This window comes from Homo sapiens, chromosome 16, assembly GCF_000001405.40.
Source record: "Homo sapiens chromosome 16, GRCh38.p14 Primary Assembly".
Taxonomy (NCBI): domain Eukaryota; kingdom Metazoa; phylum Chordata; class Mammalia; order Primates; family Hominidae; genus Homo; species Homo sapiens.
This window is the reverse complement of record NC_000016.10, coordinates 4404642-4430442: the sequence shown is the minus strand read 5'-3', so window position 1 is coordinate 4430442 and position 25801 is coordinate 4404642. Positions and strand designations below refer to the sequence as shown.

The 25801-nt window shown below is 53.1% G+C and overlaps 3 protein-coding genes and 1 long non-coding RNA gene across 13 annotated transcripts in view; 3 read left to right on the top strand and 1 right to left on the bottom strand.

Annotated features, from left to right (window-relative positions):
- The window catches only part of DNAJA3 (DnaJ heat shock protein family (Hsp40) member A3), a 30908-nt gene extending 26333 nt beyond the window's left edge, over window positions 1–4575 (bottom strand). For all 4 annotated transcript variants that reach the window (NM_005147.6, NM_001135110.3, NM_001286516.2 and 1 more), the window contains exon 1: window positions 4351–4575. In NM_005147.6, the coding sequence (NP_005138.3) occupies window positions 4351–4561 (211 nt within the window). In that variant the 5' untranslated portion in view covers window positions 4562–4575. The remainder of the gene's footprint in view (window positions 1–4350) is intronic.
- LOC124903635 (uncharacterized) lies at window positions 4654–13718 on the top strand. 4 transcript variants are annotated; one of them, XR_007064963.1, is made up of 3 exons: window positions 4654–4965; window positions 9890–10084; window positions 13482–13718. It is a non-coding gene; the product is annotated as an uncharacterized LOC124903635 (long non-coding RNA). The 4 variants fall into 4 exon arrangements; XR_007064962.1 differs by having other exon boundaries at window positions 9890–9971; window positions 13482–13703; XR_007064960.1 differs by having other exon boundaries at window positions 4654–5731; window positions 9890–9971; window positions 13482–13703.
- The window catches only part of CORO7-PAM16 (CORO7-PAM16 readthrough), a 76346-nt gene continuing 64391 nt past the window's right edge, over window positions 13847–25801 (top strand). Inside the window, exons 1-6 of the mRNA NM_001201479.2 lie at window positions 13847–13984; window positions 17039–17135; window positions 18013–18087; window positions 22192–22262; window positions 22759–22942; window positions 24876–24952. Of these exons, the coding sequence (NP_001188408.1) occupies window positions 13925–13984; window positions 17039–17135; window positions 18013–18087; window positions 22192–22262; window positions 22759–22942; window positions 24876–24952 (564 nt within the window). The 5' untranslated portion in view covers window positions 13847–13924. The remainder of the gene's footprint in view (window positions 13985–17038; window positions 17136–18012; window positions 18088–22191; window positions 22263–22758; window positions 22943–24875; window positions 24953–25801) is intronic.
- Window positions 13847–25801, top strand: part of CORO7 (coronin 7) — a 62055-nt gene continuing 50100 nt past the window's right edge. Inside the window, exons 1-6 of one of the 4 annotated variants that reach the window (NM_001201472.2) lie at window positions 13847–13984; window positions 17039–17135; window positions 18013–18087; window positions 22246–22262; window positions 22759–22942; window positions 24876–24952. In NM_001201472.2, the coding sequence (NP_001188401.1) occupies window positions 13925–13984; window positions 17039–17135; window positions 18013–18087; window positions 22246–22262; window positions 22759–22942; window positions 24876–24952 (510 nt within the window). In that variant the 5' untranslated portion in view covers window positions 13847–13924. Of the gene's footprint in view, window positions 13985–14545; window positions 14729–17038; window positions 17136–18012; window positions 18088–22191; window positions 22263–22758; window positions 22943–24875; window positions 24953–25801 lie in introns of those variants that run through there. The other 3 variants (NM_024535.5, NM_001351729.2, NM_001201473.2) reach the window with 3 other exon arrangements.

Below are 25801 nucleotides of genomic sequence, written 5' to 3'. Positions count from 1 at the left end.
TACAGGAACCCGCCACCACGCCTGACCAACTTTTTCTATTTTTAGTAGAGACAAGCTTTGGCCATCTTGGCCAGGCTGGTCTCAAACTCCTGACCTCAGGCGATCAACCCACCTCCCAAAGTAATGGGATTGCAGGCATGAGCCACCATACCTGGCCACCAACAACTGCTTTCTTTCTGCTTGGAAGAAAAGTCACATCTAAAATGTTGTTATGTCATCTTACTACTAGATTTGAGACAAGATCACAGACTAGTGTTTGGACGCTGAGTTAATGACCTTTTCAAAATTTTTTTTTTTAAGAGACAGGGGTCTCATTATGTTGCCTAGGCCAAATTCAAATTCCTGGACTCCAGCAATCCTCCCACCTCAACCTCCTGAGTAGCTAGGACTATAGAGGCTCGCCACCACATGGCTTCTCAGTTGATGACTTTATTAATTTTTTGGTAGAGAAAGAGTCATACTCTGTTGCCCAGGCTGGAGTGCAGTGGCATCATCATGGCTCACTGCAGCCTCAACCTTCTGGGCTCAAGTGAAACTCCCACCTCAGCCTCCCAAGCAGCTGGGAGTACAGGCAGTTGCCACCATAGTTGGCTAATTTTTTTTTTTTTGAGACACAGTTTCGCTCTTGTTGATCAGGCTGGAGTGCAATGGCGCTAACTCGGCTCACGGCAACCTCCGACTTTCACGTTCAAGCAATTCTCCTGCCCCAGCCTCCCGAGTACCCGGGTTTACAGGCATGCGCCACCAGGCCTGGCTAATTTTGTATTTTTTGTAGAGACGGGGTTTCTCCATGTTGATCAGGCTGGTCTCAAACTCCTGACTTCAGGTGATCCGCCCGCATAGGCCTCCCAAAGTGCTGGGATTACAGGCGTGAGCCACCATGTCCGGCCACAGTCAGCTAATTTTTAAAAATCTTTTTGTAGGCCGGGCGCGGTGACTCACACCTGTAATCCCAGCACTTTAGGAGGCTGAGGTGGACAGATCATGGGTAAAGAGATCGAGACCATCCTGGCCAATATGGTGAAATCCAGTATCTGCTAAAAATACAAAAATTAACTGGGAGTGGTGGCACGTGCCTGTAGTCCCAGCTACTCAGGAGACTGAGGCAAGAGGATCACTTGAACCCAGGAAGCGGAGGATGCGGTGAGCCGAGATCACGGTGAGTCAAGATCATGGTGAGCCGAGATCGCACCACTGCACTCCAGCCTGGCTACAGAGCAAGACTCCGTCTCAAACAAACAAACAAAAAAAATCTTGGCCGGGCGCGGTGGCTCACACCTGTAATCCCAGCACTTTGGGAGGCGGAGGCGGGTGGATCACGAGGTCAGGAGATCGAGACGTCCTGGCTAACACAGTGAAACTCCATCTCTACTAAAAATACAAAAAATTAGCTGGGCGCGGTTGCAGGTGCCTGTAGTCCCAGCTACTCGGGAGGCTGAGGCAGGAGAATGGCCTGAACCCGGGAGGCGGAGTTTGCAGTGAGCCGAGATCGTGCCACTGCACTCCAGCCTGGGCGACAGAGTGAGACTCCGTCTCAAAAAAAAAAAAAAAAAAAAAAAATCTTTTTGTAGAGATGGGATCTGCCTATGTTGCCCAGGCTGGTCCCAAACTGCTAGGCTCATGTGATCCTCCTGCCTCAGCGCCAGCATAGCGCTGGAATTACAGTCGTGAGCCACCCCGCCCAACCAGTTGATGACTCTATCTGTGAAAACAGCACGTACCCTGAAGGATGCCACCTCTCACCTGTGTACACTACCTGATATAAAACTTGCCCATGGCAGGTTATGAGCTCACTTGGGGAACAAGACAGCTAACCGCAGTTCCTTAGTCACAGCTTCACACAAAGCTTAGTGTTTAGTGCCTGTTTCTCTCTTTCACATACACAATAATAACGAGTGCTCCCAAATTTGTACAGCTGGAACATGAACAAATTTGGCTTAATAAAACAAGTCACCTAAGGATTAATATTTGAATGAAAAGATGCAGCCAGATTCTATTTAAAACAACCTTGACATTAGAAAATGTTAGCAAGCTCTAAAAATGGCCACTTTTGCTCATGTTGAAAAATCTAGCCTGGCATGGTGGCACACACCTATAAGCCCAGCATCTTGGGAGGCTGAAGTGAGCCAGGATCACATCACTGCAATTTGGCCTGGGCAACAGAGCAAGAGTCCATCTCAAAATAAAAATAAGGCCGGTCGCGGTGGCTCAAGCCTGTAATTCCAGCACTTTGGGAGGCTGAGGCGGGTGGATCACAAGTTCAGGAGATCGAGACCATCTTGGCTAACACGGTGAAACCCTGTCTCTACTAAAAATACAAAAAATTAGCTGGGCGTGGTGGCGGGCGCCTGTAGTCCCAGCTACTCAGAAGGCTGAGGCAGGAGAATGGCGTGAACCCGGGAGGCGGAGCTTGCAGTGAGCTGAGATAGCGCCACTGCACTCCAGCCTGGGCAACACAGCGAGACTCCGTCTCAAAAAAAAAAAAAATTCATTCTGTTGGCCAGGTGCAGTGGCTGATGCCTGTAACCCCAGCACTTTGGGAAGCTGAAGCAAGGGAATCACTTTAGCCCAGCCTGGGTAACATGGTGAAACCCCATCTACAGAAAACTAGCTGGGTGTGGTGGTGCATGCCTGTAGTCCCAGCTACTCAGGAGGCTGAGGATGGAGGATCGATTGAACCTGGGAGGTCAAGGTTGCACTGAGTTGTAATTGTGCCTCTGCACCAGTCTGGGCAACAGGAGGCCCTGTCTTAAAAAATAATTAAATACATAAATAATCATTCTCTTAACCAAACACACATCCAATCTCTTTGTTCTCTGCCATCTCCTCAGTGCCCAGAACAGTGGCTGGCATACAATTGGCCTCAATTAACACCTGTGAATGAATGAATTTTCAGACAGGTGCTCGAAGGGGTTAAATAATACACCCCGCTCACAGACGCTGGGGAAGTTCACCCCTGAAGCCCAGGCTCTTTTCTTTACATTGCATGAAGTAACCACAATTACTGATACTTTAATGATTGTCTACTATGTAACTATTACAAACTGGATTGCAACAGGAAGTTAGTTGGTATAAATTATCTTGTCAGGGCCCTTTAATTAATCTTTATAAATTTATAGATAGCTTAAATACCATTTGCACAAATTCTAGAGGACACAAAACTAGCACAATTCAGGTACGTACAACACACAGCACAAAACACACGGCATAAGAAAAGAAGGCTAAGCAGGGCACGGTGGTTCACGCCTGTAATCCCAGCACTTTGGGAAGCCAAGGGGAGGCGGATCACCTGAGGTCTGGAGTTTGAGACCAGCCTGGCCAACATGGCGAAATCCCGTCTCTATTAAAGATACAAAAATTGGCCAGGCGTGGTGGCGCATGCCTCTAGTTCCAGCTACTGGGGAGGCTGAGGCAGGATAATCTCTTGAACCCAGGAGTCGGAGGTTGCAGTGAGTCGAGATTGAGCCACTGCACTCCGGCCTGGGCAACAGAGCAAGATTCAGTTTCAAAAAAAAAAAGAAAAGAAAAGAAAAGAAAACATGACTAAGCACTTCAAGGCTTAATGTATAATTCAGTGTCATCTCAGGCAATGATATCAAGCCTCCACCTCCTTGTGACATTTATAAGTGGTTTAACATCTAAGCCTCAGTATCTTTATAAAATGGAATAACAGTGCCTATCATGTGGAAATGTGATGTAAGGGGAAAACCATGCCTGGCCAACAGTAAGTGCTCAATAAATGTCTGACTGTGTTATTATTACAATCACCAACTAAAGACTTCTAAAAAGATTGTTAACTGTGCCCTTCAATTAGCACCACGTGGTAGAAAGAGCGTAAACTATGACATGACTGCTTTGGGTTTGAGACAACTCTTCTAGTCTAACTCCATGACCTTGGGCTGGTCGATTCCTCCGTTGAATCTCAGTTTCTCATTCTTTAAAATGGTGATGACGGCAGGCATCTTGCAGGGTTGTTGTAACAAAGTACCTAGGCCTCTCCGAATGGCAGTTAGCTCTTCCCTTCCGCTACGGGCTAGAAGGTGGAGAGATGGGAAAGGAAGAGGACGAGGGAGCAGCGGCCTCCAGAAATGTTGACAGAGAGGTGAAGGTTCACGATCTACGGGGCGTTTCATCACCGCCGCCGGGGGCTCCACGCTTCTCTCCCTTCCTTGACGGCTGAGCAGCCACTGGGGCCTCCCCGCCTCCTGCCTGTCTGTGTCTCCGGCAATTGTGCATCCGCGTCGGAAGACACCCTCCACCCCACTACCCCTGCAGCCGTAGTCACAGCGAGGAGACTCACTCTTTTCTAGGCCCTGAAACCGCCACTCGGAAGTTGGAACCTGCCCTCACCTGTAAGGCTGACACCAGGTCTCAATGTCAGCAGCGCTCGGGGGCCGCAAGAGGTCAGGGAAGACGCAAAGGCGGGGACGCTCAGCTTGCGGCTCAGCCATGCCCCCACCACGCCCTCCCTGGGCGGCCGGGCCCCTCTACCCGATATAGCCGGCAGCCGCGGGGTCCCCACAACCACCAGCAACCAGCGTGTGGAGCACCGCGCAGCCATCTTGGCCCGGGGACTCTGCGCCTGCGCCGCCCGGCTCTAGGTGGGCCTCGCGGGAACGGCGGGCGCGCGTAGAGGCGCATGCGTCGCGCACGCGCAGGCGCACCGTACGCGTAGCCGCAGCCAACGCGCCTTCCGGGTAGCCATCGCCGAAACGGGGTTTGCTCTGAAGAGTGTTGTTAGGTAGACTCGCCGTGCAGAACCTCGCTATTCTGTGCTAGACAACCAATGGGTGTACGTTATCGGTGTAAGGACGTGGTTGAATGTAGCCGAACTTAAGTGGTCCGAGGGGTCTGGCTAAGGGCGAGACTACAAGTCCCAGCATACAACGCGGTCCTCCGTCGCGCCGCTCCCAGCATGTAGTGCGTGGTTTCCTCCTGCTGACCCTGAGACTTACGACGAATTGCGTGAGTTTTACTCATGCCGTCTCCGCGCGCTTCTAGTAAATCTTCGTCGCCACCCTCAGAATCCTGGCCGCAGTCTCACTGTCTCTTAGGCTGATTCCCCACCCGCCTCCTCTAACAAGACTCAGTTCTCCTTTTTTTCTTTTTTTTTTTTTTGACAGAGAGTCTCGCTCTGTCGCCAGGCTGGAGTGCAGTGGCGCGATCTCAACTCACTGCAACCTCCTCCTCCCGGGTTCAAGCAATTCTCTGCCTCAGTCTCCCGAGTAGCAGGGATTACAGGCGCGCGCCACCGCGCCCGGCTAATTTTTTTGTATTTTTAGTAGAGACGGGGTTTCACCATCTTGGCCAGGCTGGGTCTTGAACTCCTGACCTCGTGATCCACCCGTCTCGGCCTCCCAGAGTGCTGGGATTACAGGCGAGAGCCACCGCGCCGACCTCAGCTCTCTCCTTAAGCGTGTTAGCCTTCTCCAAACCTGCAGTGAACTTGCTGGTTCCGAATGGGAGCCGTGCTGCCCAAAAACTAAATTAGTAAAACTTGTGAGCGCCTACTGTGTGTCATGCATGTTCTAGAATATCGGGGATACAGTGATGCCTGATACACCATCCCTGTTCGGGAGGAGCAAACAATGACTCGAGAGAGGCTCCTTAGCAACTAACAATGTTAAATGCTATCACAGGAATAAGCACTGTTACAGTCATACAAGGTGAAGGAGTCATTCCATTTCTAAAATGGGAGAGAGGAAGTTTGGGATGTCAGGGCTTCTAAGAGGTAAGATTCAAACTGAACATCGATGAAAAGTGTGTCAGGTAGGGATGGAGTATTCCAAGTAGCCTGAACTTAAGAAACAAATGTCTAAGATATGAAAGTGTTTGCCTTCTTTGCTTAAACCCTAAATTTAAGAGTATGTGATGAGGCCGGTCGCGGTGACTCACGCCTGTAATTCCAGCATTTTGGGAGGCCGAGGTGCCGGCGGATCACGAGGTCAGGAGTGCCAGACCAGCCTGGCCAACATGGTGAAACCCCGTCTCTACGAAAAATACAAAAATTAGCCAGTCATGGTAGCACGCACCTGTAATCCCAGCTCCTCGGGAGGCTGAGGCAGGAGACTCGCTTGAACCCAGGAGGCGGAGGTTGCAGTGAGCCAAGATCGCGCCACTGCACTCCAGCCTGGGCAAGAGAAACTCCATCTCAAAAAAAAAAAAAAAAAGAAAAGAAGTGGTGGCCGGGCGCAGTGGCTCACGCCTGTAATCCCAGCACTTTGGGAGGCCGAGGCGGGCGGATCACCTGAGGTCCGGAGTTCGAGACCAGCCTGACCAACATGGAGAAACCCCGTCTCTACTAAAAATACAAAATTAGCCGGGCGTGGTGGCGCATGCCTGTAATCCCAGCTACTCCGGAGGCTGAGGCAGGAGAATGGCTTGAACCCGGAAGGTGGAGGTTGCAGTGAGCCGAGATCACGCCATTGCACTCCAGCCTGGGCAAAAAGAGCGAAACTCTGTCTCAAAAAAAAAAAGTATGTGATGAGATGAGGCTAGGAAGGGAGACCTGACCTGGTTAGTCTTGCAAAGGACTTTCAATTTTCACACTCCCACCATCATAACCACCTCAAGCAATGGGGAAAAAACCTGAGGATTCTTGTTTGGATTTAAAACAAACTGTGCTCATAAATCTTCACCCCCATCCCCAAAGCCTGGGAATCTGTGCTACTCCCCCTCCCCGCTACTCCCAGCATTGTACACCAAATTTTTGTGTACGTGGATGTTAATTTGGGTAGATACCCATAGCTTTCGTCAAATTCTCCACAGGCATTGAGACTCGAAGATTAAAAACCACCGGTCCTGCCAGGCACGGTGGCTCACGCCTGTAATCCCAGCACTCTGGGAGGCTGAGGCAGGCGGATCACCTAAGGTCAGCAGTTCGAGACTAGCCTGACCAACATGGAGAAACCCTGTCTCTACTAAAAATACAAAATTAGCTGGATGTGGTGGCGCATGCCTGTAATCCCAGCTACTCGGGAAGCTGAGGCAGGAGAATTGCTTGAACCCAGGAGGCGGAGGTTGCGGTGAGCCGAGATCGCGCCATTGCACTCCAGCCTGGGCAACAAGAGTGAAACTCCCTCTCAAAAAAAAATAATAATAATAAATAAATAAATAAAACCACCAGTCCTTTGAAGAACAGTGACCAAGCTATTGTAAATTGCAAGTAATAGTTGGAGAGAGTTTGGGCTACGGAATGGGGAGGACTGAGATGAACAAGGGTGTTGGGAGGTGAGCAAGAGTTCCTTTAATACATTCAGCAAATACTTAAATGACCAGCATAGTGATGAAGAGTATGGGTTCTGGGCCAGGCACAATGGCTCACGCCTGTAATCCCAGCACTCTGGGAGGCTGAGGCGGGCGGATCACCTGAGGTCAGGAGTTCAAGACCAGCCTGGCCAACACGATGAAACCCTGTCTCTACTAAAAATACAAAAATTAGCCGGGAATGGTGGCAGGCGCCTGTAATCCCAGCTACTCGGGAGGCTGAGGCAGGAGAATTGCTTGAACCCGGGAGGCGGAGGTTGCAGTGAGCTGAGATAGTGCCACTGTACTCCAGCCTGGGTGACAGAGTGAGACTTTGTCTCAAAAAAAAAAGATACGGGTTCTGACTGGGCGCGGTGGCTCATGCCTGTAATCCCAGCGCTCTGGGAGGCCGAGGAGGGCAGATCACAGCGTCAGGAGTTCAAGACCAGTCTGGCCAACATAGTTAAACCCCGTCTCTACTAAAAATACAAAAATTAGCCAGGTATGGTGGCACATGCCTGTATTTCCAGCTACTGGGGAGGCTGAGGCAGGAAAATCGCTTGAACCCAGAAGGCAGAGGTTGCAGTGAACCAAGATCGCGCCACTGCACTCCAGCCTGGGCAACAAGATCAAAACTCCGTCTCAAACAAAAAAAGAGTATGGGTTCTGTGGCCAGGCGCGGTGGCTCACACCTGTAATCCTAGCATTTTGGGAGGCTGAGGCGGGCGGATCACCTGAGGTCAGGTGTTGGAGACTAGCCTGGCCAACATGGAGAAACCTCGTCTCTACTGAAAATACAAAAGTTAGCCGGGCGTGATGGTAGGCGCCTATAATCCCAGCTACTCGGGAGGCTGAGGCAGGAGAATTGCTTGAATCAAGGAGATGGAGGTTGCAGTGAGCCAAGATTGCGGCACTGCACTCCAGCCTGGGCGACAGAGTGAGGCTCTGTCTCAAAAATAAAGAGAAAAAGAGTATGGGTTCTGTGCTAGGCATGGTGGCTCATGCCTGTCAATCCCTGCACCTTGGGAGGCCAAGGCAGGAGAATCACTTGGGCCCAGAAGTTCAAGACCAGCCTTGGCAACATAGCAAGACCTCATCTTTACAAAAAAAAATTTTTTAATTGGCCGGGCATGGTGGCGCATGCTTGTGGTCCCAGTTATTTGGGAGGCCAAGGTGGGAGGACCACTTCAGTCCAGGAGTTCAAGTCTACAGTGAGCTATGATAGTGCCACTGCATTGCAGCCTGAGCAACAGAGCAAGACACTTTCTCAAAAAAAAAAAAAAAAAAAAAAAAAAAAAGAGTATAGCTCTGGAGTCAGACAGCCTGGGATTGAATTCTAGCTGTGCCACTTACCAGCTGTGTGTCCTTGGGCAACTTACTTCACTCTGTTCTTCTGTTTCCTTTTCTCTAGAATGGGGACATAGGCCAGGCACGGTGGCTCACACCTGTAATCCCAGCATTTTGAGAGGCTGAGGTGGGAGGATTGCTTGAGTCTGGGAGGCTGAGGCTGCAATGGGCCATGATTGTGCCACCGCACTCCAGCCTGGGTGACAAATGGAGACCATATGTCAAATAAATAAATGAGGACTTAATAGTAACGACGTCGGCCAGGCGTGGTGGCTCACGCCTGTAATCTCAGCACTTTGGGAGGCCGAGGTGGGGGGATCACCTGAGGTTCAAGAGCAGCCTGGCCAACATGGTGAAACCCCATCTGTACTAAAGAGTACAAAAATTGCCGGGTGTGGTGGCTCACGCCTGTAATCCTAGCACTTTGGGAGGCCGAGGCAGGTGGATCACCTGAGGTCAGGAGTTCAAGACCAGCCTGGGCCACTTGGTGAAACCCTGTCACTACAAAAATACAAAAATGAGCCGGGCACAGCGGCACGTGCCTATAATCCCAGCTACTTTGGAGGCTGAGGCATGGGAATCACTTGAACCCAGGGGGTGGAGGCTGCAGTGAGCTGAGATTGCACCACTGCACTCCAGCCTGGGCAACAGTGAGACTCTTCCTCAAAAAAAAAAAAAAAAAAAATTTCACCAGGCGTGGTGGCGCGCACCTGTAGTCCCAGTTACTGGGGAGACTGAGGCAGGAGAATCACTTGAACCTGGGAGGCGGAGGTTGCAGTGAGCCGAGATCACGCCACTGCATTCCAGCCTGCACAACACAGCAAGACTCTGTCTCAAAATAAAGCAAAACAAAAAATAGTAATGTCCTCAAAGGGTCATCTGAGTGACATAATCATGTAAAGGCTTCCTATAGTACTTGATGCGTAGCCATTGCTCAATCTGTGTTGGCCCCATGTGCCAGGCTGTACTAAGCACTGAGGATACTAAGAACTCAGACAGAGTTACTTACTCACGGGGAGCCCAAAACTTAGGAGAAATGGGGGTTGGGGGGATGCTGCTGGTTGAGAAGAACAACTTTCAAGTATAGAAGCTGAAAACAAGAGCCAAAAGGACTTCCATTTACTACCTCAGAGTGAGTTAGGAACTAGAGGAGAGCTCAGTAATATGAAAACTGTCACCGTTGTAACTTCCCCCCCTTTTTTTCTTTGTATTTTCGTTTATCCCCCATCTAGTTCCCCATAGTGATGAACAGTAAAAATCCTCCACGTTGAAATGGTGTGTGTGTTCTTGTTTTCAGGGATAGCAGGAAGGCTGATTGTTGGGGAGCCAGTATTTTCTATTATGAAGCAGAGAACTCTTAAGGAGTGGAGTGGATGATGGTAATTACCAAAAGAGAGGACAAAGTCCTTGGGATCTGCCACACAGAAGAAAGAAAAACATGGGAAAGACTCCCAGCTGAGAGCAGCCTGGGCCTATGCCTGGTCTCTTTTTGGTTAGACTTTATTATTATTTATTTTTGAGACAGTGTTTTGCTCTTGTTGTCCAGGCTGGAGTGCAATGGCACGATCTTGACTCACTGCAACCTCCACCTCCTGGGTTCAAGCGATTCTCCTGCCTCAGCCTCCTGAGTAGCTGGGATTACAGGCATGCACCACTGCACCCAGCTAATTTTGTATTTTTGGTACAGACGGGGTTTCGCCATGTTGGCCAGGCTGGTCTCGAACTCCTGACCTTAAGTGATCTGCCCGCCTCAGTCTCCCAAACTGCTGAGATTACAGGCATGAGCCACTGTTCCCTGGCTTTGTTTTCTATTTTGATATGAGCCCAACCCTATGAGGTAGGTAGCGGGAGGACTATTCCCATTTTTACAAACGGACACCACCCCGCCCACAAAGAAAAAAAACAACAATAAAATAAGCTCTGAAAGATGAAAAGACTTGTCCAAGGCCACACAGCTAGTAAGTGAGTGAATGAAGACCCAAGCCCAGGTCTTCTCACAACAAAACTGTGTGTTTTTCCTTTAAACCACGTGCCTATCAATCGTCATTGCGATCAGTATCTCCCAAGCATATGGCTCTTGGGAGTTTCTGAAGTACTTTCTCATGCTTATTTTCATTTGCTTTTCACAACAAAAGAGAGGCAGGGCAAGCATTTATTACTACCATGGGTACAAACTGCTGCCCTGCCTTTCAAGGACTTCTGCTGCAACTGGACACAAATGGATCCATCCCAGGCTTGTTGCCAAAGACTGCAGAAGCCACAAGCTACACCTATCCTCAGTGCCAGTCAGAATATGATCCCGTGTTCTCCAGGCAGAAGCTCAAAAATGTGAGCTTTAAGGAGAAACAGGCCGGGCACAGTGGCTCACGCTTGTAATCCTAGCACTTTGGGAGGCCGAGGTGGGCAGACAGCCTGAGCTCAGGAGTTTGAGACCAGCCTGGGCAACATGGCGAAATCCCATATCTACTAAAAATTCAAAAATTAGCCAGGCATGGTGGTATGCACCTGTAATCCCAGCTACTCGGGAGGCTGAGGTAGGAAAATCACTTTAATCCAGGAGACAGGTTATGGTGAGCTGAGATCACACCATTGCACTGCCTTGGCAACAGAGACTTTATCTCAAAAAAAAAAAAAAAAAAAAGGAGAAACAAATGTTACTTGCAAAGGGAACACAAAGTCGTAAGCGTTTCCCCCTCCACACTTTCATTTCACTAGACCAGCAATTCCACAGAGCACTTTCCCCATCTCCTGAGCTGTGGATATCTGTGAGAGCTGCGAAGGGGTTTAATGGTGCTCCCCGACAGTGCTGGGCTGAAGGCAATGGGAGACAAGACGGTCTCTGTGATTTCTTGCTGAAACCACTGATCATTTGAAGTATAATGGGACTGGCCAAGTTCATGGCTGCCAATGGCTGCAACTCTCCCATGTGAGCTCAGAGATCTTTTACAGAGGGCAGAAGAGCCTGAGCCCAGCTCTTCAGGGGCATGATTTGTCTTAAGTATAGCATTTTCTTTACTTCACACAGAGTATAGGACAATTCCAAGTGGGTGAGGAATGTGTGGTCCAGATGTTCTGGTCTGTGATGTCTGTAGCAGGTGCAGTTCCCTATGAAAGGGGATGATGAGCTGTGCCTCGGTCGCCTAGGATCCAGTGGGACCACTGTCCTGATGATTTTCTTTCTTTCTTTTTTTTTTTGAGACAAAATCTCGCTTTTGTCTCCCATACTGGAGTGCAATGGCATGATCTCGGCTCATTGCAACCTCCACCTCCCGGGTTCAAGTGATTCTCCTGCCACAGCCTCCCGAGTAGCTGGGATTACAGGCACCTGCCACCACGCCTTGTATTTTTAGTAGAGACGGGGTTTCACCATGGTGGCCAGGCTGGTCTTGAACTCCTGACCTCAGGTGATCCACCCACCTCGGCCTCCCAAAGTGCTGGGATTATAGGCGTGAGCCACCATGCCCAGCCACTTGATGATTTTCTTTTTTTTTCTTTTTTTTTTTTTTTTTGAGACAGAGTCTCGCCCTGTCACCCAAGCTGGAGTTCAATGGCACGATCTCGACTCACTGCAACCTCCGCCTCCCGGGTTCAAGCAGTTCTCTGCCTCAGCCTCCCAAGTAGCTGGGATTACAAGCACCCACCACCACGCCCAGCTAATTTTTATATTTTTAGGACAGACAGGGTTTCACCATCTTGGCCAGGCTGGTCTTGAACTCCTGACCTGGTGATCCACCCACCTTGGCCTCCCAAAGTGCTGGGATTACAGGCGTGAGCTACCGCGCCCGGCCAACCTGATGATTTTCTAAAAACCTTTTTGGACTGGGCGCAGTGGCTTATGCCTCTAATCCCAGCACTTTGGGAGGCTGAGGCAGGTGGATCACTTGAGGTCAGGAGTTTGAGACCAGCCTGGCCAACATGGCAAAATCCCATCTCTACTAAAAATACAAAAATTAGGAGTAGTGGCGCACACCTGTAATCCCAGCTGCTTGGGAGGCTGAAGCAGGAGAATCGCTTGAACTCAGGAGGTGGAGGTTGCAGTGAGCTGAGATGACACCACTGCACTCCAGCCTGGGCAACAGAGTGAGACTCTGTCTCAAAACAAACAAACAAAAAGCCTTTTCAATAAACCACAAGTGACTTTGGTTCACAGTAAATACACTTCTGCCCGAACTAAGATAAAATGTAAGCATTGCTTTTCAAACCTTAGAAATGCAAGAATCAGCTGGGTGCGTTGGCTCATTCCTATAATCCCCACACTTTGGCAGGCCAAGTTGGGAGGACTGCTTGAGTCTCGTTCGAGACCAGCCTGACCATCATGGTGAAACCCCGTCTCTTACTAAAAATAAAAAATTAGTTGGGCGCGGTGGCAGGCGCCTGTAATCCCAGCTATTCGGGAGGCTGAGGCAAGAGAATTGCTTGAACCCGCGAGGCAGAGGGTGCAGTGAGCTGAGATCGCGCCACTGCACTCCAGCCTGGGTGACAGGGACTCCGTGTCAAATAAATGAATAAATACTAAAGAAAAATTAAAAGCTATTATTATTATTATTTTTAGAGGCAGGGTCTCTTTCTGTCTCCCAGGCTGGAGTGCAGTGGCACGGTCACAGATAACTGCAGCCTCGACCTCTTGGGCTCAAGGGATACTCCTGCCTCAGTCTCCCAAAGTTCGGGATTACAGACCTGAGCCACCGCGCCTGGCCGGATGCAGAGCGCCTGGCCGGATGCAGAGGCTTTTGAGTAGGCCCGGTGGACAGGGATTTGCTTTAGACCTGGGCCCCTGTTCCCCCTCTGCCTCTTACCACTGGTGTGACCTGGGGACCGACAGTTTACACTCTCCTTTAGCCGGGGGTTTCCTGTCTCTGAAATGGAGCTAATTTCTCCCCTCTCTACAGGAAGAGGTAGATAGTGCTGGAAGGCGTGCTAGGTACACCGCAAAGACTCCACAGCAAATCCTGCACACAAAATCGCGAATGCTGCAGCCGAGACCCCACGCAAGCAAGCACCGCAGGAGACGTGGGCTGACAGCTGCGCCCCACGTGACCTCCCACCCGCGCCAGTCCGTCCCCTCGGTATCAGGGCGTGGCCTCGCGGGGCGGCCGTACCTGGATTGGCCGGGAGGCGGGACCGGTGGTGCGCGCGCGAAAGGAGAGGGGCTTGGGGGCGTGGCCCAGGGGGCCGGAGACGGCTGCGATTGGCAGTGGGGCGCGCCGGGGGCGTGACCGCGGCATTGGGTCCCGGGTGGGGCCGAGGCAGCGGGAGTCGCGGTTGCTCAGCGTGCACCTGAGACCCGACGCCCGGGGTCCTCGAAGACGCGTCCGCCGCCGTGCCCGTCGCCATGAACCGCTTCAGGGTGTCCAAGTTCCGGCACACCGAGGCTCGGCCGCCCCGCCGCGAGGTGAGTCCGGCCCGAGGACCGGGCGCTGTCGCCTCGGGCCCCGTCCGGCTGCCCCTCCCCCTGCCCGGACCCCACAGGGGTGCCCTCCAGGGCCGTCTGGAACCCCGAGACCTCCATCCCCGGGGAACCCCCCTTCAGGCCAGGGCCCCGGCGTCCGGGCCGTTTCGTCGCCGCCGGAGGGCAGAGTCCGGCACTCCCGTGACTCGCTCTGGCGCTCGGTGACCCTGGCGGTCTGCCCGCCTCGCCCACCTCGCCCCGGGACCCCCGAGGCGGCGCAGCCCTCCTAGCCGGGGCCCAGGCCTGCGAGGCCGCCTGCCTTCCCAGCTTCCGGTCGGCCTCGCCGGGAGCCGGGGCTCGGGGCGCTGCCGGCGCCTGGCTCCTCCTCCCTGCCGCCCCGGGTCGCCCCTGCCCCTGGCTGGGCTGTGGGGAGACGCCCCTCTCTCCTCTGGCCCCGGCGAGCCCAAGTGTGTCAGTGGTGGGGAGGGAGCCCCTCGGCCGCACGCGCCCCTCCCTCGGGTTTCCGCCGGTGCTTCCTCCTCTCGCCGCTGGCGCAAGCTCTTTCTTTATCTCGGTGATGCTGCCACGGCTGGGTGGGGCCTGGGGAAGCCTGAGCAGGTGGAGCCCCAAAGAATTGCTGAGCCAGGTGCCGGGAGACCCTTCGGACCCCCGAAACGGCAGGAGGACTGATGAGGGGTGCGCCTTGGAAACGATGTCAGCTCTGCTCTTCCGCTTTCCGTGTTATTTGTAAGGCCTGGGAGTGTCCTCCGATAACTGGGCCTAGGAGTTGACCTCAAGTGACCCCATCAGGGTCCCAGAGCAAGTCAGGGCAGTCTGGGTAGAGGTTCCGTTTTTGTAGTGTGGACTATATTTCCTCTGCTTCCACTTTATGCTGTGCTAAGCTGCTGGAGACATCCCGGTGAACACAACGGCATTTTCCTTCCCCTGTGGCACTTGTAGCCTCATGAGGGAGACAGCAAGCAGACAAACAAGAGCATTGGAGGTTTTCATAACGACATTGAAGAACACACATGAGGGACTGGGATGGAGAATGGAGGGGGCCAGTCTCAGTAGCGTGGTCAGGAAAGGCTGCCTGGAGTAGATGGCATTTTAGCTGAGGCCAGAAGGGTGAGAATTGAGAAAGAGCCTGGTGGAGAAATGGAAAGTGAGCATGAGTGGATGGAGGGGATGGCCGGAGCAGTATGGTGACAGATGAGTCCAGAGTGGTCCTGCAGAACCCAAGGGCCACCGGAAGAAGTTGGGTTTTATTCTGATTGCAGTGCAGAGCCATTGAAAAGTTAGGGGGAGGGGCTGGATACCATGACTCACGGTAATCCCAGTACTTTGGGTGGACTGCTTTGAGCTCAGGAGTTCGAGACCAGCCTGGGCAACATTGCGAAACCCCTCTGAACAACAAGTTAAAGAAAAAAAAATTAGCCAGGTGTGGTGACTCACTCCCGTGGTCCCAGCTACTTGGGAGGCTGAGGTTGGAGGATCTCTTGAGCCGAGGAAGTGGAGGTTGCAGTGAGCCGAGATTGTGCCACTACACACCAGCCTGGGCAATAGAGTGAGACACTGTCTCAAAAAAAGAAAAAAACAAACAAGAAAAGTTAGGAGGAGGTACCTAGGTTTGCATCAAGACAGCCGGTGGCTCTGAGTGCAGTTAAGTACTGCTTGGAGGGGTCTGGAGAATACTTGAGGGGCCCTAATTCTTGCTCCTGGGTGGGCCTTAGTCCAGCAACATAAACAGATAGGCATGGAACTACAGACTGTAGGGAGAGCTTAAAACAGTTTATGTTAGGGAGGCGGGAGAACAGGTGATCTGTTCTTTTCAGAGATATTTGCAGTCACTGTGTTTATACAGTAAACATGAATCAGGAGGGAGAAATAATAGGGTGGGACTGATGCTGTAACCATGGCAGGTGAACACTGATATAGAAACTTCAGGTGGTGGAGGTGGTTTCCGGGGTGCTATGGGTGGGTGGAGTGGGAAACATGGGTGTCCTGTCATCGAGGGCAGGAAGGAGTGCTGAGCGGTGCTTTGACAACAGAGAAAATGTGTGGACCTTGCAGATCTTAGTTTCAGAAACGTGCTCCTCTGCCTCCCCTTGGGTGGGGGTGTTTCTTTTACTGACTTATGAGACTTTGTGGAAAGGTGTGTCCTGATGAGGCCAGGCCTTGGTGGTTCCCCTCTCTGAGCTTGGGTGTTTTTCTCCGGGTACTTGGAGGAGGCCTGGCCACATTTTGCATTTTCTTTTTTTTTTTTTTTTTGAGATGGAGTCTCGCTCTGTTGCCCAGGCAGGAGTGCAGTGGCATGATCTCGGCTCACTGCAACTTCCGCCTCCCAGGTTCAAGTGATTCTCCTCCCTCAGCCTCCTGAGTAGCTGGAATTGTATGTAGGTGCCCGCCACCATGCCTGGATAATTTTTGTATTTTTAGTAGAGATAAGGTTTCACCATGTTGGCCAGGCTGGTTTCGAACTTCTGACCTCAGGATGATCTGTCTGCCTCAGCCTCCCAAAGTGCTGGGATTACAGGCATGAACCACCGCACCTGGCCCACATTTTACATTTCCTAAGGGACTTCGTGAGTGGGGACAGAGTTTGATTTGAAGTAACACAACACGGCTGGGGGCGGAGGCTCATGCCTGTAATCCCAGCACTTTGGGAGACCAAGGCAGGCAGATCACTTGAGGCCAGGAGTTCGAGACCAGCCTGGCCAACATGGTGAAACCCCATCTCTACTAACAATACAAAAATTAGCTGGGCTTGGTGTTGGGCGCCTGTAATCCCAGCTACTCAGGAGGCTGAGGCAGGAGGATCACTTGAACCCAAGAGGCAGAGATTGCAGTGATCCAAGATCGCGCCACTGCACTCTAGCCTGGGTGACAGAGTGAGACCCTGTCTCAAAAAGAAAAAAAAAGTAAATAAAAGAATGCATCTCGAATGGTGCAGCTGTGAGCTAGAGTTCCCCAGATTATGCCCCACCTCTTGCTTTAGGCATGCATGGAGGTGGAACCCTGGCTCTCACCACATACTTCTTTACTCTTGATTTTCAGTCCTGGATCAGTGACATTCGAGCAGGAACCGCCCCTTCATGCAGGAACCACATCAAATCAAGCTGCAGCTTGATCGCCTTCAACTCCGACCGTCCTGGTAGGGAATGGCCATGAGTGTGGATATTTGCTCACATATTCGGTCATCGTCACCATAGATGGGGTGGGGAGCAGGGGCAGGCTTGGTGTATTTGGAGACTTGGAACGGAACTGCTTTGGGGGGCTCAGAGGTGAGCCCCATGCCAGACCTTAGACCCCCACAAACTGGTCCAGGCGCAGTAATCTGATTGCTTTTGATTAGGACATATGTGTGTACAAACCACAGGCAAGAGCATGGCCAGGAGGGCTGGGAGGGGACTGACGCTTGTATTTCCAGCTGTCCCTCTGTGCTCCCTGCTCCTCATCTTTGGGCCCTGGATGGCTGGGGACAGTAGGAACAGAAAGGCTTGAAAAGCCCGTGTGTTGGTTGGCACTCTCTTGATTGCTAGTGGTAACTCAGACCCTCAAGCTGGCTTAAGCAAAAAATGGATAATGTTTCAGCCTAACTAAGAGATCAGGGGCTTCAGGCAGATCGGTGCCCAAAGGCTCACATGTACTGTCGGCCCTGACCTCTCTGGGTCTCTCAGCTCTGCCACCTTGGGTGTTGGCTTCTTTCTCAAGTAAAAGTGCGAAAAGTGGCTGACGGTAGCTGCAAGCCCCATACGAAAGCCCCACGCCCCTTTCGTATGACCCGTGTTAAAAAGAGAGGACCTCTCGCCTAATGTCTTCTGTATCCATCTGAGGCATGGATGGCTCATGCATGGGGCCAGAACCTACCCACAGGCCATTGCTACGTGCAGAGGATATGATCTTGTGATTGGTAGAGGCTCTGGGAAGGTCCGAGGCTGAGCTGCTGGATTTCATCTCTGGGATCCCTGGGCAAGGAGGTGGGTGGCCCTGTGGGGCCTGAAGTCAGAGTCCCCGTGTTTGTTTAACAGGTGTACTGGGCATTGTGCCTCTGCAAGGCCAAGGAGAGGACAAGCGACGCGTGGCCCACCTGGGCTGCCATTCAGGTGAGTGGGTGTCTGACTAGTGGGTGAAGCCTGAAACTTGCACCTCCCTCTCCAGGGCCAGAAATTCATCCTCACCTGGTCCCACTGCCGCATGGCTTGCCAGGTCCCTCCTGTCGCCCTGTCTGTGCACTCTCTGAGAGACAGTGGGGCTCAGAAGGCTTCCTCCTGGTGTAGAATTCCGGCCTGGGCAGTGAGGAGGGAAGCTGTGTGCTCCGGTTGTGAGCTGGATGGAGCGGGGTGTGCAGTGGCCGCCCCAGGCTCCAGGCTGATGCTGGCTCCCTGTCCCTGCCGAGGACTCCACGTTGGATGGCTCTGAGCCCTCCGTCTTCTGCTGGAGTCCCCTCTCCACCAGGCATCCTCCCCAGCCCAGCCGCTCGGGGCCCTCCAAGGAGGTCGCTGTGTTGGGCTGCAGGGGTGGAGATGGGCCCTCACAAAGAGACCTTTTGTGTGCCGCAGCTGCTTCTGGGGGCGTCCAGCAGCCTGCCTGGCAGGCTGTCCGCCTCGAGGGAACAGTTTGCTCGCCTCAGATGGAGGCAGAGCAGCCCAGCTGGCCTCGCCTCTCACTGTCCAGCTGCAGCGGCCGCGGGCCCAGTCTCTCTGGCCTGCATTTCTGGCTGCTTGTTTGGAGGCCTTCGGGTGAGGGAAGGCAGTTGATGCCTGGTCCTCAGGCTGGGTGTGCAGGGTCGTGGAGGGGTTCTGATATGATAATGATGGTGGTTAATAACAATAGTAAAGATTTATGGAGATTGCTCTCTGTACTAAGTACGTTAGCTGAGTTTTCTCATCTAAACTTTTTTAAAAAATTTTTAAAAAGTATATAGAGACGAGGTCTTGCTATATTGCCCGGGCTGGTCTCAAACTTCTGGGCTCAAGCAATCCTCCCAAGTCAACCTCCCAAAGTACTGGCATTACAGGTGTGATCCACCAGGCCCAGCCAACGTTACCTGTTTTTTGTTTGTTTTTGTGACAGGGTCTTGCTCTGTCACTCAGGCTGGAGTGCAGTGGCATAATCATGGCTCACTGTAGCCTTGACCTCCTGGGCTCAAGCAATTCTTCCACCTCAGCCTCCCAAGTTGTCAGGACCACAGGTTTATGCCACCACCCCTCCAGCTAATTTTTAAAAATTTTTTGTAAAATGGGGTCTTGTTATGTTGCCCAGCCTGGTCTTGAACTCCTGGCCTCGAGCTATCCTCCCGCCTTGGCCTCCCAAAGTTTTGGGGCCCCGTCAGATTACCTGTTTTAAGTAAAGAGCCTGATGATTCTTATTAAAGTGACCGAGTCATGTGCACTGCCATCCAGTTTTGGAACGTTTCCATCATCCCCAAAAGATCCCGCATGCCCCTTTGCAGTTAATCCATTTCCACCTCCAATACCACAGCCTCAGGCAACAGCTGATCTGCTTCCTGCCTCTGTGGCAGAGGTCTGCAAACTACTGTCACGGCCAGATCCAGCTGGCTGCCTGTTTTTGTAAATAGTTTTATTGGAACGCTGCCACGCCCATTCATTGATGTATAGTCTGTGGTTGCTTTCTTGCAACAACTGCAGAGTTGAGTTGTGACCGAGACTGTTGAGCCCTGAAATCCTAGAATATTTACCGCCTTGCCCTTCGCAGGAGACGTTTACTGGCCTCTCCTCTATAGAGGGGCCTCTTTTGCGCATCTCACGCAAATGGAATCGCACAATACACGGTCTTTGGAATCTGGCATCTTTCACGTAGCATGTTGTTTTAGAGATACATGTGTGTGGCAGCTTGTATAACAAGTCTGTTCTCATCTAATCTCAGATCTCTTTGAAGTAGGTTTTAAAACAACCCATTTTATAGCTATGAAAACTGAGACTCCTGCAAGGTTAGGAACTTACCCATTGTTATGGCAGGGCCAGAATCAGAACCCAGGTCTATAGGAGCCTGTGTTTGGGTTTGTCTTTTTAGAGACAGGGTCTCTGTCTCTGTCATCCAGGCTGGAGTGTGGTGGTGCAATCATAGTTCACTGCAGTCTTGAACTCCTGGGCTCAAGGGATCGTCTATCCTCAGCCTCCCTAGTAGCTGGGACTATAGGCACACACCACCATGCCCAGCTGATTTTTTTATGTTTTGTGGAGATGGGGTTTTGCTGTGTTGCCCAGGCTGGTCCTGAACTCCTAGCCTCAAGTGATCTTCCCACCTTGGCCTCCCAAAGTGCTGAGATTATAGGCATGAGCCAATGTACCTGGCTTCATGTTTGACTTTTTGATGCTTTTTATCTATGAGGGAGCTAGCCCAAGTTGGTGATGCTTGCAAGGTGGTGAGCCCTCTGCTACTAGGGCTCTTCAAGTAGAAGCTGGACCAGGGTCCTGTAGGCAAGTCCATAGCCTCACTGTGGCTGCAACTGTTCAGAGCCTTGCCTGCATGAGCAGCCCTGCCGGGAAACTGCTCATGGGAAGGTGAGCTCCAGCACCCCTGGAACCTGCCCTAGAGGCACCAGGTGCCCTTCTGCCTCAGAGGTGCCGGTGTCGGGAGAAATGGCCAGGTGGGGCTCTGGCTGTTGCCCTGCCTTCAGAGGCCCCTTCAGCCTCTCAGCTCAGGGCCACTCTTGCCCTTCCGCCCAGCAGCCAGGGGAGCAGAGGGTGAGCAACTTCTGGGTGCGTTTCTGATGTCCAGGCTGTGGGGCGGCAGCTGGGGCCCGCTCCAGTGGGAAAAGGCAGCAGCATGTCATGCTGAGCAGCACAGGTTCTGAAGCTGGCCCTGTCTCTTAGCCGCGTGACTTGGGGCAGTTACTCACCCTCTCTGGGTTTTGGCGTCCTCATCCTCCAGTAGGGGATGCTGCTGCAGTGCCACCTGCTGCATCCTTATGAGGATTCAGTGAGGTCCCTGCGTGTCAACCCCTGGGCATCTGTGGTGCCAGCACATGCTGAGCACTCAGATTGCTTATGTCATCACATCTCATTCACGCCTGAGATGCCAGCCCGCCTGTGCCAGCTGCTACACCTGCCCAGGGACCTGCTTTGCCCTGCAGGGCCCAGCAAGCACACCCCAGAGTGAGGGCAGCAGGGGTTCTGTGGCTTTAGGCCCAGGAATGTTGTGGTCCTGCCAGCTGGGATTCCAGGCCAGGGCTATCCCAAGATGTGCCTGTGCACGTCCGTCCTATCTTTTCCCTGTCTCCTGAGGCCGGGAGGAAGACAGTCCTGCTCAGCCCTGTTGGGAGGCAGACAGCAGCAGGTGGTCGCTGTGCTCCCAGCTCTGGTGATACCTCTCGTCCTGTTCACACCCCGAAACCCCGCCACCCTCCATGCCTAGTCTCTACCTCCCCAACCACCCACCGCATTTCCCTCTGGGGTCTGGCTCACTCTGTGCACCCCACCTACCCCTCCCCACCTCTGGAGCTGAGCCGTTCAAGTTCTTAGTATTTAATTTTTGAGACAAGGTCTGGCTCTGCTGCCCAGGCTGGAATGCAGTGGTGTGATCTCTGCTCACTCCAACTTCTGCCTCCTGAGTTCAAGCAATTCTCCTGCCTCAGCCTCCTGAGTAGCTGGGACTATAGGCGCCCGCCACCACACCCAACTAATTTTTATATTTTTTGTAGAGACGGGGTTTCACCGTGTTGCCCAGGCTGGTCTTGAACTCTTGAGCCCAAGTGATCTGCCCACCTTGGCTTCCCAAAGTATTGGTATTACAGGCATGAGCCACCATGCCCGGCCACCATTCAGGTTCTTTGGTTGCAAAGAACTAAAGCCAACTCCGGCTTGCTTAACCAAAAAGCAATTTCTTAGTTGAGTCCTGGGGACCTTCCACGACTGAAGGAGCAGTGGGCTGTGCTGCCCTAGGAGGGGTCGGGCTGGGCAGCTGCGTTCCTGCAGGTGCCTGGTGACTCAAGCGGCTTCCTGCCCATTTCCTGCCAACCTCCTGATGCCAGAGCCCTTGGCCACCCTGGGTCAGCAGGGCCCTCGGGGACGTATGTCGCAGGAGGGGCCTGTGGCATTTGCCCCCATGGTGTCCAGAGGGCCCTTGTAGACTTGTAGCCTGTTTCTGTGTGCACACAAAAGTGTCACCTCGGAAGCCCTGGGCTTTGCTTCATACTGGGTTGGAAACAGGACATTCCGGTGGGTTCAGCCATTCCTCTCCCACAGACCTAGTCACCGACTTGGACTTCTCGCCCTTTGATGACTTCCTCCTGGCCACAGGCTCGGCTGACAGGACGGTGAGTGGAGCCAGTTGGAAGAGCTGCTCTATGTCCCAGCCCGTAGTCCAGGGCCTTCTGAGCCCCAGCGCCATCCCCACAGGGCTCTGCTGCCTCCCAGTCCAGCCCCACCCCACTCCCCAGGGCTGCGGGGCTGGTCTGAATTCCTGGTCCCACACTGGCTCCCAAGGGCTTGCTTGGAGCCGTGGCTCTGACCTGACCTGGAGCCCGAGGACAGCAGGTGGGGATGCTGCCAGAAACAGTAGAGCCACTTCCCCAACTCTGGGACCACACCGTGTGGTCTAGGAGCTGAGATTCCCTCCCTCCTTTCTCGGATGTGGGGTATGCAGCCCCTGGCCCAAGCAAGCTGAGGCGGGTGGGCGCTCCTCCCAAGGCCAAGGTGTGTGGTCTCCTGGAGCAGCCTAGTTCCAACACGGGACCTCACTGGGGTCACGGCAGCTGACTCAAGGCAGTGAGGCCCTCAGCCCTGTGCTCACGGACTTGGTCTTTCTTGCAGGTAAAACTCTGGCGACTGCCAGGGCCTGGCCAGGCCCTGCCCTCAGCACCCGGGGTGGTGCTGGGCCCCGAGGACCTCCCAGTGGAGGTACTGCAGTTCCACCCCACCTCTGACGGCATTCTGGTGAGCGCAGCAGGCACCACTGTGAAGGTCTGGGACGCAGCCAAGCAGCAGCCCCTGACAGGTACAGGCCACCCTGGCCTGCCCTTCCCAGGGCAGCCCCACTCTGGACAGCACTCCGTTTCTTTGTTGGCATGTTTAGTCACATAAATTTAAAAACAGATATCAAAGTTTTACACTTACATAGTATAAAAGTCTTAAGATTCTATGAGGCTGTAATAAACACCCCATCTCTCTTTGCTCTCCGTAGCCATCAGTTTCATCCTCTTACCTGTTTTTTTTTTTTTCTGTTGTTTTTCTCCATTTAAAAAAATAATGGCCGGGCGCGGTGGCTCATGCCTGTAATCCCAACACTCTGGGAGGCCGAGGTAGGTGGATCACCTGAGGTCAGGAGTTCAAGACCAGCCTGGCCAACATGGCAAAACCCCGTCTCTACTAAATATACAAAAATTAGCCGGGCGTGGTGGCACACACCTGTAATCCCAGCTACTCAGAAGGCTGCGGCAAGAGTATTGCTCCAACCCAGGAGGCAGAGGTTGCAGTGAGCCGAGATTGCACCACTGCGCTCCAGCCTGGGTGACAGAGTGAGATGCCGTCTCAAAAAAATAAAAATAAAAAATAACTTTGGCCGGGCGCGGTGGCTCACGCCTGTAATCCCAGCACTTTGGGAGGCCAAGGCGGGTGGATCACGAGGTCAGGAGTTCGAGACTAGCCTGGCCAACATAGTGAAACCGCGTCTCTACTAAAAATACAAAAACTTAGCTGGGTGTGGTGGCGGGTGCCTGTAATCCCAGCTACTCAGGAGGCTGAGGCAGGAGAATTGCCTGAACCCAGGAGGCAGAGGTTGCAGTGGCTATGGAGAGCGAAGAGAGATCGTGCCATTGCACTCCACCCTGGGGGACAAGAGCAAGACTCCATCTCAAAACAAAAAACAAAAAACAAAAAAACCAAAAAAAAACCTTCTTGGATGGGCGTCGTGGCGCACACCTGTAATCCCAGCACTTTGGGATGCCAAAATGGGAGGATCGCTTGAGCCCAATATTTTGAGAATTAGTCTGAGCAACATAGTGAGACACAATCTCTACAAAAAATTAAAAAATCAGCCAGGCGTGGTGGCGTGTGCCTGTCTGTGTCCCAGGTACTCAAGAGGCTGAGGTGGGAGGATTACTTGAACCCAGGAGGTGAAAGCTGCAGTTAGCTATGATCACACCACTGCATTCCAGCCTGGGCAACAGAGTGAGATGCTGTCTCAAAAAATAATAATAGGCCGGGCACGGTGGCTCATGCCTGTGATCCCAGCACTTTGGGAGGCCGAGGTGGGCGGATCACTTGAGGTTAGGAGTTCGAGACCAGCCTGGCCAACATGGTGAAATTCCGTCCCTGCTAAAAATACAAAAATTAGCTGGGCATGGTGGCAGGTGCCTATAATCCCAGCTACCTGGGAAGCCGAGGCAGGAGAATTGCTGGAACCCAGGAGGCGGAGATTGCAGTGAGCTGAGATTGCACCACTGCACTCCAGCCTGGGTGACAGAGCAAGCCTCCGAAAAGTAGTGGGGGTTAGGACTTCACCATCTTTTTAGGGGAGCACAATTTAACCTGGAACAGGAGTTGCAGAGAATGTAGAGAAGTATTTTAAGACCTCACACTAGCGAGGGAGAGTATAGATGGCAGGAATAGAGGCTTAGGGCAGGAGTGACCCTGTTGGTGGGGAGCTATGTTGGAAGTGAGCCTGGGAGGGATGAGAGAGCCAGGCCAGGAGCGGGAAGCCTCGGAAGGTAGTTGAGTGATGTACGGCTGCACAAAGGTGGGGTGAAGGAAGCAGCCTGTGGTGCAGGGGAAGCCTGTCTGGGAGAAGCTGCTGCCCTTGCCCCCTTGGCTGAAAAGGACCCTCGTAGCTGCTGCCTTTGCTCTGGGAGTTCCCCCCAGCAAGGCCCGCCCCCACCCACTTCCCTGGTGCCCTCACTGCCCGGGACCTGACTGTGACTGCTTCTCTGCAGAGCTGGCAGCCCATGGGGACCTGGTGCAGAGCGCCGTCTGGAGCCGAGATGGAGCCCTGGTGGGCACGGCGTGCAAGGTGAGCAGGCAGGTGGGGATGCCCTGTGGGGCTCTGTGCAGGCCTCCTGGGCTGGGACCCCCTGGGCTGGGCCTTCCAGGCTTGTTGTTTAGGAGGCAGTGGAGCACTGAGGTCAGGATGGTCATCTGTGTGCCCTGCCCCCTAGCTGCTCCTCACACCCCCGCTCACCTACATCTGGAAGCCCCTACCTTGCCTAGGCCCCTGTCAGATGAGAGCCCACGCTGGTCCCTGGTTTGCGCCCTAATGTCGCCACCCTCAGGCAGCCTCCTCTGGCCGCCTGTCTGGTCTGTCTGAACCGCCAGCCTTTCTGCAAGACTCTTGTTAAGCAGCATTCGGCCGCAGGTGCTGGGCCAGGCCCCAGTTGCTGGGGAGGTGACTTCCGTCGAGGACAGTACAGACAAGAGGACCCGTGACCTGGGCTCTGCAAGAGGGACATGGTGCTTTGAGCTGGTTGGACAGGCCAGGGACGCGTGGCCTCAGGCAGGGATCGGGGCCAGGACAGGCAGGTGCGGGGCAGGCGGGTGCTGGGTGGTGAGTAAGGGTTGTGCCTGTTGCCGTAGGGGTAATGGGAAGGCAATGAAGTGTTAAAGGCCAGAGTAGGGCAGGTGGTGCAGTGAGGGGAGCGGATTCGCATTTGGAACCACATGGACAGTGTGTGGCAGGAGGGGCAGTGTCTACAGGGGGATGCGTGGCAGCCTGCGGGGAGGTGAGAGCTGTTCTCTGCCGGGAGTGGCGGAGACCTTTGGGAGGAGGAAGCCAAGTGTTGGAGAAGGATTGGGTGGGAGGCGTGGCGGTCCTGAGGCAGTAGGAGAGGCCTGTCACTGGGACGGGGATGTGCTGTGGCAGAGA